We start from the raw sequence: 16,708 nt of genomic DNA on the forward strand, positions 1-16,708 counted from the left end.
ACCAGTATTGGCATTTGGACTGCATAATTCATTGTTGTGGAAGGCTGTACTGTTCACGGTAGGATGTTTAGCATTGTATCTGTCCTCAATCAAGCAGCACGCATCCCTTCTCATCTGCCAAAGTCTTGACAACCAAACATGTCTAGAGACATTGCCAAATATCCTGTTGGTGGAGAAATCACTGAATCACTGTATTTTAAAATTTCCTTTTTCTATATAATGGAATATTTCACACATACAAAAATAGGGAGGATAGTATAGCAAATCCTCATGTATCCATTGCTCAGCTTCAACAATCATCAATGTTTAGCCTTTCTTTGAACCGCTGTTTTAGAGACTACTTCATTTTCAGGTTTCTCATTCAAGATGATCTCTGGGGGTATTGGCTGAAATACACATTTTCCATGGTTGGATTTCAGAGATTCTAATAGTGTAGGTCTTGAGTAAAGCCCAGGAAAATGCACTTAATATAGACAACTGATGACTATGATATAGCTACTCTAACTTTACACTTAGAAAAATACGGATGTATAGATGAATCAGTGCAAGTAGAGCTCTATAGTTAGTTGAGTAGAACTTAATGATGGTTAGGTGCTATGGTCATATTTACTTAGGACAACACACATATATGGCCTCTAGATGAATGTGCAAGTCTCCAATTCAATTTGCTTTTGTACACACAGACCCAATCTGCTTTGCAATTAGGTAAGCACCCATTGGGCAGAGTGAAAATTTGGAGGCTGTAAAATAAAACAGGTAAAGATTTTTATTTGTCAGTGAGACTACATAAAATAATGATCAGCTAATGAAAGTACAATAGGACTGAGCATTCATAATTTTCAGTGTGAATTGGAATAGATGGCCTCATTGAAATGATACCTGATGTCAAATTATTAAGGAGATTTCCCATTTCTTTCGGACTAAACTTGATTAATTAAATATTATTTGAACACAAACAAGGTCAAATGTCTGAAGGCAGGCTCAATGAATTCATCCAATTACAGAGAAAAGTACTAAAATTTTTTAAATGAATATTCATATGACTGATACAGTTTTCTAATTTGTTTCCAGATGTTTCAGATTCCATGCTGTGGTATGTTCAAAAGACTGGTAGACAGCAAAAACAACAGGGAGTCCCTCTCATTTTGCATATCCTTCCTACTTTTTCCATTAATCTATGAGTCTCTTTTAGTATATTTCTGCCTCAGAGACTCTGTTCCCAGGTTCTGCCTTCTGAGCCAAATATCTTGAATGTCCTAATTTAGGAAGGCAAAGATCAAGTCTGAATAATGTCAGTCAATGAAGAAACCAAATACCAACTTTTTAGACTTATTTCACTTTTTACCCTAGCTGCACTCAGCCACTGACCAGGCAATCCCACCCCCTCCCATTTTTAACTAGGATTCAAGGAACCCAATCCCAACAAGGTCTTTGAGAAGCTCCTACTCGCATCTCACACTCACCTAGAAGCACATATTTAAACCAGGGTTGTTACAACTTTCTTTGTAAATAGTCTTTCTAAAGGAGATGAGCTCTACAGGAAACTTAAGATCAGTTGTAAACAATAAGTAAAAACTAAGGATGAAATATATTATCATTCTCATCTCATGAAAGTATCTTGCATGTATCTTGCCATATCTTTAGAAACTGTTTAGAAAGGTTTATAGTATCCTGAGAAAGTGTTTCTTTTGGAAAATATCAACTTTGTTCTCCCAATTAGCCATGCCTTTGCACAAATCTATCAATGTCAACTTATTTTCATTATATTTCTTTGGCTTCTTCCAAGATATCTATACATGTGTTCATCAAGGCTCATTTTCATTGAAGCAATGAATGTCATCCATTGAATGAAATACTTCCTCAGAAAAGATATAGCTAGACATATAATTTACAGAGCATAACATGACAAAATCTGGGTATGAGGGGATATCATTTTAGTCCAAAATATTTGTTCTTTCTTGCATTTTATTTATATAGTGAAGACTTATAATTTTTTAAAACCACCTCTTAATTTAGATTGTTAATCTGAATATCTCAGCAACAATCCGTCATGAGATTTGAAATATACATATCATTCAGAATAGATAAATTTGTTCAGGCCAATCTCTGAATATGTATTGCACAAATACAAATTTTATAAACACACATTTAAACTTTTCACACATCCTTGGAAGAGTAAAGAATTGAAAGCCATGCCCAAAGTGGGAAAAATGTAGATTTGGGGGTATTGTAAGACTATCTTCGTATAGATAAATTTTTCAAAACACCCTTCACATTGTTACAGGTGGGACTTAGTACTTGGGCTTACTTGAAAGTCTTGAAAACAACAGAGAGAATGTTAACAACATGATAAATAATTTGTACTTGGATTGAATCTGAGATATGACGTAGTATGACCTAGTCTGACCACAAATACAGATGTTGTCCCACATAAGACTTAAGAGATGCAGAAGTTTGAATGGGAGATGGATTTCCCTATATGGACTGTCATCTTGTATACTCTTATGTGTTGGATTATTTGTTCTCCTTGATCGTCATGCTCTTGGATGTTATGAACTCAATTATCCAGCTTTCTAATAACACACATTAAAAGAAACTTCCTTGAAGCTCAAGAACAATTTAAGGTGGTTTGCCAGATTGCTTCACTGCAGAACTTTTCTCAGGCTGCATGACCCATATTTTTTGCTTTCTAAGATTAAAAATATCTAAATTTTACTACATTCTCAGAAGCTTTTAATATATGAATGCTTAATTTACATTACTTATATTTTAATGCTAACTCTGCCTATCACTTTTACATTAAAAAATCATTTTTATAAACATGAGTCTTACTTTTTTTTCTCAAAATGTCCTGTGAGGTATATAAAGAGCTATTATAATCTTCATTTTACAGATGGTAAATTTTTTTCTAAAGGACACTGCCACTTCCCTGAGAACACACATATACACTCAGTAAATAACAGATGATAGACATAGCTTAAGCCTGTGGATTCTGGCTAAGTGTTCTTGCCATAACTCCAAGATACCCCTTTACACTACTTGTGTTTTAGGGGTATGGGAAAAAAGATTACACCTGAGAGACTGACTATGTAACTAACAAGAAAGTTTACAGCCACTCAGAAGAGTTAGAAAGTGTATAAATGTCCACTACACTAAAAAGGGGCAATTAAATTGTTAATTTGGGAGTAAACGAAGATGTAAAAACAGAAGCAAAGATTAAAGTGATACATCTACAAGCAAAGGGCTGGTGGTAGCCATCAAAATTTGGAAGTGGCAAGAAACAGATTCTCCTATAAATTCCAGAGGATGTATGACCGTGTTCACACATTGATTTTGTCTCATTGAAACTGTGAAATATATATTTATGTTGCTTTAAGCTACTAAGTTTGTAGTAATTTGTTACAGTGGCAAAATTAAACTAAATTTGATACCAAGAAGTGAGATACTGCTGTAAAAAATACCTAAAAAGGTGGAAGTGCCTTTAATAACAGTAGTGAGTAGGGGTTGAAGGAATTTTGAATTACATGACAGAAAAAGTCTGTTGACTTTAACAGACTGTTGGTAGAAATATGGATGCTAAAGACTGCACTAGTGAGGGCTCATAATGAAGGGTGGAATATGGTAGAGAAAGCCTGTTTTGTCTAAGACTGTGTATATGTACATATATTTCTACCATATTAGTAGAAATATGAATATTTGTTTATTTGGTGAGGGCCCAGAAGGAAATGAGAAGCATGTATTGAAACCTGGAAGAAAGGTAGTCCTTGTGGTGTAGTGGCAGAAAACTTAGCAAAATTGTATCCCACAGTTGTGCAGAAGTCAGAATTTGTGAGCAATGAATTTATATATCTTTAGCTAAGGAAATTTCTAGGCAAAGTTTAGAAGGTGCATATTGGTTTTGCCTTGATGCGTATAGTAAAATATGAGAAGAAAGAGATAAATTGAGGGAAGACTTTTAAACAAATGACACCAAGACTTGATGATTTGGAAAATTCTCAGCCTTTCCAGTTTGTAAAAGATCCTAAAATCAGGAGATCCACTGTTAGGAAAGCCTGTTCTGCCAATAAAGTCAGTGTTGTGGCTGGACTACCATTGCCTAAGGCTTCTAAAGTATAAAATGTTTAAAGTATTTTCTCACAGAGAGAAAAAAATTTTTTAAGAGAATAAGCATGTAACTTATTGATCCACTCAACCGTATCAGTAGAAATTAGGAATAAAGATGGAATTTTCCAGGTAAAATTTGGTCTACCTGTGTAAATAAAAATTTATATTTATTAATTCATGGCTGACATGACCATATATTTTTTCAATGCATTTTGGCTGTAGATTATTTGAGAAATAATTTTTGATAAAATGTTAATTTTAGAATACATTTAGAATTATAGAAAAGTTTCAAAGATATTACAGAGAATTTTCATACACCATACACCCAGTTTCCTTTATTGTTAGCATCTTACATTAGTATGGTACTTTTGTCACAATTAACAAACCAATATCGATTCATCATTATTAAATAATATCCACTCTTTATTCATATTTCCTTAGTTTGTAACCTAATGATCACTTTTTCTGTTTCAGGATCTCATCCAAGATGCCACAATACTATTTAGTCATTAAGTCTCTTTAAAGTCCTTGAATCTTCTATTTCTCACCCATTTTTCCATTTCTAATGGCCCTGATACTTTTGAAGATCCATGATCACGTATTTTTTAAAAGGTTTTTCAGTTGGGTTTTATCTTATGTTTTTCTCATTATTAGATTGGGACTATGCGTTTTAGGAAGACCACAGAGATAAAATGCTTTCTTAATCACATCCTACCAAGGGTACATTTTATTAAGATGACTTAGCACTGTTTATGCTGGCCTTGATTGCTCCACTGAATATTTACTCTTTTTATCTCCTTTTCTCATATTGCACTCTTTAGAAGAAAGTCACTAGGCACACCCCACATGTAAGGAGTGAGACTTGTACTTCACCTGTGGATGGCTGCATATCTACATAGATTAACTGAATTTTTCTGCATGGAATATTTGTCTCTTTTATTAAAAAAATTAATTTTTAAAATTTACTTTTTTATTTACATCAACATGAATTTGTGAATATTTATTTTCTACTCCATCTTATAGTTCAATGCTTCTTTACTTTTTTGTTGACCAAATTTGTCCATAAGGTATAATTTCCATTGGCTCCAATATCTCTCTGACATAGCAGCATCACTGTGATATTTTTGCATAATCCTTACTTTATGGAACTACACAATGTTTCAGGCTCATCTCAATTATTTCCTGCCATAGCTCTAGGATCCGTCATTTAGAAAGTTCTGATTTTTTTTTTTTTTGCTGTTGTTGCAGAATGTATTAGAAATTAATCCCTGTGTGCTACATGTGCTTAGTGATATGGGGCATCACAGTTTCTAGGTCCTCTTGGCTGACAAATCAAGGAAATATATGCATGGATATTAACCTATAAATATACATGTATTAATTTGATAAGGCTGCCACAATGAAGTTCCACAGACAGGTGGCTTAAATAGCAGAAGTTTGTTTTCTCACAGCTTTGGAGGCTAGATGCCCAAGATCAAGATGATGCCCAGGTTGGTTTGCTGTAAGACCTCTCTTCCTGGCTTGTAGATGGCTGCCTTCTTGCTGTGTCCTCACATGGTCTTTCCTCTACGTGTGTGCATGCACAAACACAGTACATGCAGAAAGTGGGAGGTGCAGAGAGAGAGATCTTGTGTCTCTTCCTTTTCTTGTAAGGAAACCAGTCCTATTGGATTAAGGCCCGCCTTCATAACATCATCTAACCTTTATACCTCTTTATAGGCCTTATCGGCAAATATAGTCACATTTGGGAATTAGAATTATAACATAATTCAGTACAAACCAGGCCATGACTCTCTGTTTTGGTGATTCAAATTAGATTTATTTTCATGAGACCTGGAATTCTCTCACTTATACAGATACAATAAGAATTTAGTAGACTGCTCATCTGTTTCTTTTCCCCCTCCTTGAAATTCTATATCAACTAGGCAATACTATATGTCTCTGTCAGTCAGGCTACTCTGATTACTGCTTTAACTCTCCTATTTATCATAGTAACCACAACTACCTTGTCTTTAGCTGTTGGCATCCTGGCATCTAATTACCCCCATTGCATTTAGAAATTCCAGTTCAGTGGCAGTAGCTGCCACTTTAATTTCAGACCTGCAAAGAAGACTGACCACAGAAAATGAGTAGCACTATTACTGGTTTGTAAGGGAAGAGTATGTTTAGCCTGTAAAAGATTGCACAACTCTCTTCCAAAGTGGCTGTACCATAATGTATATCCACTGACAATGAACGAGCATTCTTATTGTTCCATATACTCACCATCAATTGGTATTGTTAGTTTTTTGGATTTCATGCATTCTAATAGATGTGTGGTGGTGTCTCCTTGTTTTGATTTGCATTTCTCTTATGACAAATGATTTGGGGTATCTTTTATATACTTATTTTCCATCTATATCTTCTTTGGTAAAGCTCTGTTCAGGCATTTTGCCTATTTTTAATCGGGTTGTTTTTCTCATTGTTAATTTTATGAATTATTTGTATATTTTTGGATGCAAGTTCTTTACCAGATACGCATTTTGCAAATATTTCCTCCCAGTCTATGGCTTGCCTATTCATTCTCATAACAGTGTTCTTTGTAGTGCAGGTTTTTAATTTTAAAGAAGTCAATTTTATCAATTTTTTTTCTTTCAAGAGTTATGTTTTGGTATTACATATACAAACTCTTACCAAATGTACAGTCAGGTATATTCCTACATTATCAAGAAATTTTTAGTGGTTGGTATTTCACATTTAGGCTTGTGATCTATTTTGAGTCAATTTTTCTGTAACACATAAGGTCAGCATCTAGTTCAAGTTTTTGTATGTTGATTTCCAGTTATTTGGTGTCATTTGTAGCAAGGACTATCCTTTTCCATTAACTTGTCTCTGCACCATTAGTAAAATCAGCTTACAATACATGTATGGATTTTGATATTTTGTGTTTTTAACGAATTGGTCCATTTCACCTAAGTTATGATTATGGGCAAAGAACTATTTATATTCTTGTCTTACTATAATTTTAATGTTCATGAGATCAGTAGTTATAGCCCATCTTTCATTTCTGATTTTTGCTTAGTCTGGCTAGATATTAATCAATTTTATTGATTTTCCTAGAGACAGCTTTTAAGTTCATTGGTTATTCTCTATTATTTTCCTGTTTCTAATTTCATTGATTTCTAGTCCAATATTTGTTATTACTGTTCTTTTTCATTTATCAGGTTTAATTTTCTCTTCTTTTTCTAGTTTGTTAAGGTAGAAGCTTAAATTTCTTATTTGATAAAATGTAAGGTCATCAGTTTTCTTCTGAGCACTACATTTGCTGTATGCAAATTTCCATAATGTGTGTATACATTTTCACTTAATTCAGAATATGGCTATAATTACTCTTAATATTTCTTCTTTGTGTTATTTAGACATATGTCATTGGTTTCTAAATATCTGGAGATTTTCTAATTATGTTCTTTTTACTGATTTCTGTTTAATTTTACTGTGGACTGAGAATATGCATTGTATGATTTTTTTAAATTTTTTGAAGTTATGGTTTATGGTCATAATATGGTCTATTTTTGAGAAAGTTCCATGCAAACTTGAGAATAATAAGTATTCCTTTGTTACTGAATTGAGTATTTTATAAGTGGCAATTAGATCATGTTGACTGACATTGTTCAGGTGCTTCCCTTTGATCTATCAATTACTGATAGAGAGTGTTGAACTGTCCGGATATAATAATGATTTTTTTCTATTTCTCCTTGCAGTTCTGTAAGTTTTTGGCTCATTATTTTGGTCTTCTGTTATTACATAAATATATGTTTGAAGTTTTTATGTTATTTTTTCTTGGAATAGAAAGAATTATCACTTTGCTTGGAGAATTGACCGTTTCATCTTTATGTTATTTCACTCTTTATGCATGATAATATTCCTTGTTCTAAAGTCTACTTCATCTGAAATTTAGGTAGCTACTGTATCTTTCATTTGATGTTAGTGTGGTATATATTTCTCTATCAATTATCTTCTGACATAACCAAATCCTCATATTTAAAGTGAATTTCTTGTAGACAACATGTTGTTGTATCTTTTTTCTTTTGAATTCACTCTGAATTTTTTTCTTTTAAATGATGTGTTAAAGGCATTTAAATAAAATGATTATCCACTTAGTTGAATTAATATATACTATCTTTGTTACTTTTCTTTATTCATTTCAATTACTGGGTTATTTCCTGTCATTTTTATCCTTCTCTGATTTTAATCAAACATTTTGTTTGCTCTTACTTTATCACCTTTCTTAGTGTATCATTAATATTTCCTTAAAAAGTATTTTTAATTGTTGCTTTGGAGTTTACAATATACATTTATTAATGTAAATACATCCTTCAAAAAGTACTATCACTACCACTTCACATGTAGTGAAGGTACCTTATAATACAGTACACCCAATTCTTCATCTCATCCCTCATGAAATTGTTGCCATTCTTTCCACTAATCCATATACAATCATCAAATAAATTGGTACTAAAATTATATTAAAGAGTTATTTTTTAGATTTATTAAAATAAAAAATAAAATATTTTATTTAACTTGATTTATTGCTTCTCCATTGCTTTATTCTTTATCTAGATCTACATGTCTGACCACATGTTTTTAGCACAAATCTTTTTGACAATATTATTGCATTATTTTCGATACAGAAAAAAGAAAGAAATTTTTGTCTGTCTTCTTACGAGTTTTCTCAATATCATTATTTTTACTGACAGTGTAGAAAATTATCTTTTAATTTCAAAACTCATTGTTAATGCCACCTAAATTTTTGGTACTGCTGTCAACTGGAGAAGACTATATCAGGTTTCTTTTGTTTAACAGCAGTAACATTTCAGGGAGTCTCATTTTTTTATTGTTCGTAACTAACTTACATACTCTTACAATTCATAATTTTTAACCAATATGGGGTTTTTATATCTTAATTGTACTGAAGTATTATGAGTTTTCTTTATTTTTATCAGTATTGATGCTTCATGAGGAGGCATATGTTGTAGACAGGCATAAACGTACAATTTTAAACATAGATACGATTGTTATTTATTGTACTGTTACAAGTTGACATACTTAAATCATATAAATCTGGATAATTTTATTTTGTACAATTCCTATTTCTGAAGCAATGAAAATGTAGTATACTTATGATTATATAATCTGCATTATCAACAGATTGAGAACCTCTATTTTTGAACTAGCAAATGAAATCCAAATGTTTCTTTCACAGTTTTACGCATTGGATCCTTGAAAATTTTTCCAAGGATAATACCTAGCTTCACATTTTCAAACCCTATCTTTCCTCAACAACCCACCCAGTTGCTGGACACTGAAATACATTCTTATCAGCACTGACCCTGCTACATTTTTTGTATTGTTGGATGAGTCAGACCAGTGGGTGGGTAGAAATATTCTTGGACATCAATCTATCATCAGGGTGGCTAGCAATAACATTACTATTCATGGATGGAACTGCACATCAGATAAAAATAGCCCTATAAATCAAATTAAATATTTATGAAATTTGTATTTTTCTTATTTAAGTCCTAAAAGTACCATTTTCAGAATCACCAAACAAACAAGGAAATGTAGGCTAGGTCTAGTGGCTCACACCTGTAATCCAAACACTTTGGGAGGCCAAGGTGAGAGAATAACTTGAGTCCAGGAGACCAGCCTGGCAACATAGGGAGATCCTGTCTCTACAAACATTTTTTGAAGAAACTAGCCAGATGTGGTGATGTGCACCTGCAGTCCCAGCTACTCAGGAGGCTGAGATGGGAGGATTGCTTAAGCCCAGGAATTTGAGGCTGCAGTGAGCTGTGATTACACCAATGCACTCCCAGCCTGGGCAACAGAGTGAGAGCCTGTCTCAAGAAAAGAAAAAATAAAAGTGAAGGCATATCTGATTAAATTAAAATAGTATTAATCTGTGCTGCATAAAATATCTTACCTTTTCAGATTTATAAATCTGAAATATAAATTTATGTATACACACATGCACACACACGTGTGTGTATGCATATATATATATATATATATATATATATATATATATATATATATATATATATATGACTATGAGAATGTATTTCTAGGGTGTCTCCCAAGGTCTTGGAAGAGGCTCTGTGAATGTGACAAGGCATAAATACTTATCTTAATAAGCTTCTTAATACATTTACCTCTGTTTTGTAGAAGTGAGTTATATATTTAAGAATGAAAATGAACTGAATGGGAGATAAATATTCTAAGCAACTGGTACAAGATGCACAGAGACTCATGGGAAACCCTTGAAGAAAAGTTCATTTATAGGGAACTATGAGTATTTCTATGTGTAAAATGTTTAAGAAGATAGAGGGTGCCAAATCAAATCTTCAAATAATTAAATACATATCTCTATCTATCTATCCATCTATCTACCATCTATTTAATCTATTTATTGTCTAAGTAGCAGAATAGTATAAGATTGGAAAGTTAAATATAAAACTGTTTAATGCCATATGTTGGCAATAGAGGCATGATATTTTTCCAGACATAATTTGTGTCTTTATGGGTAAAAAATACTGACAAGTTAGAAATTTTCTAATAGTTTCCATCTCTTTCCAGAATCTGAATCTTTATTCATAGTATTAACAGGGAATAGTAAGTCAAACAAATTCCATATTCTGTTTCATAGATAACTCTTTCGGTGGGTTTGTTAGACAATGGTTTATTATATCATTGAAAGGGCAGGAAATAACTTTTTTTTATTTCTATGTTTTGGAGAGTTTTTTTCAACGAGTATACTAAAGTATTGTTAACTTGTGAAGGAGTTTGGCTTGATGTCTAGGACAATGAGGAATCTTTGGGCTCTTCTAAGCAAGGTAATGATAAAATTACTATTAATTTTAAATCTTTTTTTTTTTTTTTTTTTTTTTTGACGGAGTCTCGGTCTGTCACTCAGGCTGGAGTGCAGTGGCGCAATCTCGGCTCACTGCAAGCTCCGCCTCCTGGGTTAACACCATTGTCCTGCCTCAGCCTCCCGAGTAGCTGGGACTACAGACACCCACCACCACGCCCGGCTAATTTTTGTATTTTTAGTAGAGGCGGGGTTTCACCGTGTTAGCCAGGATGGTCTCGATCTCCTGACCTCGTGATCTGCCCGCCTCGGCCTCCCAAAGTGCTGGGATTACAGGCGTGAGCCACCACGCCCGGCCGAGTTTTAAATATTAAAACCACTGTTTCAGTAGGTAGGAGAAGGATGACTTGCACAAATATAGTTGGCGTAGGCTGAACAGTTAGACACAATTTTCAAATTTATTTAAAATGATGGGTAAGGGTGGGAGTTTATGTTATTTTCATAGAACATAAGTAAGTTGAGCTGGATCTGAACTCCTCAGCCAACTAACTAAGCTAATTATACTGCTGATCGTTAGCTTATTGGGTACTCTTCACTGTACAAAAGTTTTCTACTGAGAAAGGATTCATGACTGTGAGCAGTGGCTCACCTGCCAATCTTAGCGCTTTGGGAGGCTGAGGTGGGAGGATCACTTGTGCTCAGGAGTTCGAGACTAGCCTGGGCAATATGACAAAACCCATTTCTACAAAAATAAATAAATAACCCACAAAGACAAAAATTAGCTGGGTATGGTGGCATGCACAAGTAGTCCCAGCTACTTGGAGGGCTGAGGTGAGAGAATCACTTGAGCTCAGCGGGGGGAGGCTGCAGTGAGCCAAGATTGCACCACTGCACTCCAGCCTGAGCAACAGAGTGAGACCCTGTCTCAATAAATAAATAACAATGAAAAATATTGTGAGTTTTTTAATTGTAAAATTTATGAAGTTTCTACCAAAATTTATGGAAAATATTGTCTATGGAAAATCTCTCTTGTAGAAATTTTTTTCTAAAGATTTATGTTTTATAATTTTATTTTTTTCTGTAAGCTTATATAATTCATTTTTCTATATTTTATAATGTAGAATTCATTGGTCCTTAGGCATATTACCATAATAGACTCATGTATAAAATTACCTTATAAATTTTTTTCTTTTCATTTTGACTCCTCACCAATAGCAATGCCCCATGACTAAAATATTACCATGTTTTTCTTAAAATAACAAACCTTGAAAGAAGAATGATTTTTAAATTTCATAAAACCGAGTAATTCAGAATTTGTATAGCTTTCACAGGGTATAAGTTGCCGTGAGTTTTCTCTACAGCTTTTACTTTGTGTGGTTCAAATGGTAAGTCAACCCAGACTTTGAAGCTGCATTTCCCCTGTTGACAATTAATCACCAGAGTATTCCCAAAATATCACTTTACTTACCTCCTCATGCTCTGTATGAATCATAGCTCCAGAAAGGAAACATCAACACATTTCACTTATGGGATCAAATGATTAAAATGTTAGTGAAACCCTAAGATTGCATCTAATTGAATTTAGAATGTGTTATGCTTAATCTAGAACATGGTTTTCCCAATATCAATACATGAGCTGTCATTTGCCTTTTCCTGTCTTCTATTTTCGTTATTGTTGTCCAGGTAGAGAAGTGCTGAGGTCTGAATTTCTATTCCCTACCCCACCCTCAATATTTCTGGACTTTGAAGTTCAAATATAATTTACAGATAACATCATCTTTTATTAACAGACAGCATCAAGCCCTGTACATAGTTTAATCCTAGTGCATAAAAGGAAACATAGGTGGATCAGAATATTATATTATTACTGCTGTTATACAGTGTTATGCTTTGAAGTAACCAACAATTAGACCTGCCAAGCTTCATTCTGGGTGAGCTGCTGTCAGAGAAAATAGCAATATCTCTCACTTTAGGTCAAAGCTAATATATGAAATTGTAACTATAGCTATCCACTGGAATTGAGTGGCATTTATTTTCAAGAGTGTGTTTGTAATTTAAAGCTGTTACATAATTTTGAAAAATAGAAATATATGGAGAAAATGCAGAAAAACATTATAACAGTTTTGAGATACCTAATGTTTAAGCATGATTTTTTTGTGTGGTTTTACCATGCTGATCAAAATGGCCTCTTTTCCTGATGTTTATCAACTAGCTTATTGGCACTTGCAAGTTAACCAGATACTAATGGTGAAAATAGGAAAAACTGTGAGATTTGATTTTGGCATATGCAACGCCCATGTGACCAAATATTTTATGTTTGGAAAATAGTACCAGTAATACTTCCTTCCTTCTCTTCCCTAAATGCGTAACATGTGTGCCTGCACATGCACATGCACGTGCAAACACATTTACTTGTTATAATGCTTGAGAATACAGTCTAATTGATATATGGAAAATATGTTTCTTAATATTTGTAGCACATTTAACCTCTACATATAATGACATTTCAAAACTCTTCAGGGAACAGAAAATATTCATTAGCAGAACCTTGTAATTACTCAGCTTGAAAGTTGTAGACTTAATGGAATTTGCTTTTGTTTTTTCTGCATTCCCATCACCAATACATCTCACCAGAATGAAATCCAATATGTTAAATGATATTAACAGATCTATTTCCTGAATAAGGCTATAAAGAATTATGAATTTCATATTATTAAAAATAGTAATTGCAGTGTTGCTTGTTTCTAGAATGTGTTTCACACTTACACATTATACAGAGCTTTGATAAAATGTGGCACGATATCATTGTATTACTGCAAAATTATGTTTTCATCTGATATGAAAAATTTCCAGCGATTGAGGATCTCTTATTTTTCTCCACCCCCTTGAAATTACAAGACAATTAAGAAAAAGAAGTTGATACAAAGTTTGGTTTCACTCATGTCAAGTGACGAAGGAATTTAATGCTTAAAATGCCCTGACACAGAAACAGCTATTTTCAGAAAAAGGAAAACAAGTGTGAGTATGACTTCTTTAGAAAATCAAGCATATAACTACTCTAATTAGGTAGATCTTAGAAATGTATATGCCTCATATTTCATTGAAGGCCTCAATAATAAAATTAGCTCTAGTTCATATAATACTCTCGGTGTTTAGTATCACCTTGTTTAAAGTGAAACATATTATTCAAAAATATAGTAACTGTATTGGCTATAGTAAAAACTAGATTTGTTGCTAATTTCTATGTCCCTTATCCTCTTTTTTAATATTATTTCATTTAATTCTCAACAATAGTGTTAGGTGGTATTATTAATTTTCATCTATTATGAATTTGGGGAAACTAAGGCATAGAAAGATTGAGCAGCTTTTTAAATATCCTGATTCCTTCTTCAAATGAACAAATATTCGGGTTGCTTTTTACTTTTAATGGCATTGTGCTGAAATGTAAAACAAAGCTCACTTCCCCTTCAGAATGTTCAATGCTTCTTTGGATACTGCAGTAATGTCACTAGGAAGATTTACAATGGATATACTGCATACCTAATACATATTTTTCCAAGCTAATGAAATGTATAATGTTTTCAAAATCAGGTCATTTTCTTCCTCTCTCTCCCTTAAAGCGCTTACTTTTTCTTTCGGGTATTCAGACTTTCTATTCATGTCTGCCAATCTCCTGTTTATTTATTATGACTTGTTTCAGTGGTCATCTGGGTAAGAAGGATGTCCTTGAGATGGTCCCCTAGGTTCAGGTAATTACTTTCTTCTTTTGCTACTATTGTATGCAATACTCTTCATGCCCTTTATTTATATATGTATGTATACACACATACACACATACACACACATCAACACATATTACATGTTTTGGTCTCCTAATAAACTTTGAGATTTTGTAGAGCAGGCACTAAATCTTAGTCTTCATTTTATTCTTAGGGCCAATACTGTAACTGGTGCACTGGAAACACCCAATGAATATTTTTCGAATGAGTAAATAAATGATTAAACTCAGTGACCGTAATGCTTTGATGCAGGTAGAAGGTTGCTTTTCCCCATGAAATTTCACTAACATGCAATTAAAATATACTATTTGATATTGTGGGAAAAGAATATAAAGTTTTAGTTGGACAGAATGAAAAACTATATACTATTTTATATTTACATGCAAGTAAATGTTGGCCTTCCCCTTCCCCTTTCATTCACTTCCTCCCCCAACCTTCCTCTTAGATGCAAAGAAGAATGATGTTCTGTGATTTCAGGTTTTAGGAGGTTGTTTATTCCAAGTTTAGCTTAGTGAGACACACTATCTACTTCTCCATTGTTGCTTGTTTTCTCTCAGTTGTAATATCTGCTACTAGTGACTCTAGTGGAGTCACTAGACTCACCAATACAGAATCCTGCAAGCTGTCCTCACAGAAATGACCCAAACACAGGATGGACATGTTTTCTCATGTGTAAGCGTATATATTAAAGATGTCCAATATCCAGGTTTCTAAACACACATTTCCAACAGAGCACACAATTGTAATTAGCATTGCAAATACTTTACTTTGAATTCACTGTGAATTCTTTGTATTTCCAAAAAGTGATTTTGTTTACACTATAAATTCAGTGTCAGCTAAAAATAAAAAAAGAAGCTTTCTGACTTTTTCAAACCATTGTTGACTTTTAACAACAACAGTTTGCCAGCTTCAGAGCAATATATTAGAACAAAATACAATTTCTATTCTCACACTCCTTACTAGCTTTTCAAATGTTTTGGAGAAGTCTGCTGACAGATGATTAGTCAAACTGGGAACCAACTGCTTCAACTATTTAATCTAAATGATAAGTGATTGCTTTGATTGGGATACATTTTAAATAAATATGTAAGTTCCTGAAATGCATACTATAATTTATTGTAATATAGTGTCCTAACCCACATGTGTTATATGGAGCTGTGTAGATATATGTATATATAGGTATATATCTATATATGGGTATATTTGCACAAAGTCAGTGTTCCTTGACATTAAACAAAGATCTTACTAATTTTTTGTTTGTCCCAAATATATGTCCCATTAAAATTTGCAAAGTGTTAGTAGTAAGAAATATGCTTCAGCCTGGGAATAGTGGTTGATGCCTGTAATCCCAGCACTTTGGGAGGCCAAGGTGGGCAGATCACCCGAGGTCAGGAGTTTGAGACCAGCCTGGCCAACATGGTGAAACTTCATCTGTACTAAAAATACAAAAAATTAGCCAGGCATGGTGGCTCACACCTGTAATCCCAGCTACTCAGGAGGCTGAAGCAGGAGAATCGCTTGGATTCAGGAGGCAGAGGTTGCAGTGAGATGAGATCACACCACTGCACTCCTGTCTGGGTGACACAGTGAGACTCCGTCTCAAAAAAAAAAAAAAAAAAAAAAAGAAAAAGAAAAAAAAAGAAATATGCTTCATTTTCACAATATGCTTACTATTTTAAACCTAATTTCCTTGCTAAAATATATAATGTATGATTAATAAGGTTGAAACCTAACGTTGATGTAGGGACAAAAGTAAACTCACATATGTAAGAAGGAACAAAACTATTGTTTCAAGGTTCAAGGTTTTAAAACAGGTGTCCTTGCAAACTTAAGGAGTCAACAAGCAAGGTTCTAAAGTTTTATGCAATACTTTAGTCATCCCTTATTCTTGGGGCATATATTCCAAGACTCCCACTGGTTGCCTGAACTTGGATTGTACTAAACCGTGTATGTGTTTTTTTCTTATACATACATACCT

The sequence above is a fragment of the Homo sapiens genome, chromosome 9, assembly GCF_000001405.40.
Source record: "Homo sapiens chromosome 9, GRCh38.p14 Primary Assembly".
NCBI lineage: Eukaryota > Metazoa > Chordata > Mammalia > Primates > Hominidae > Homo > Homo sapiens.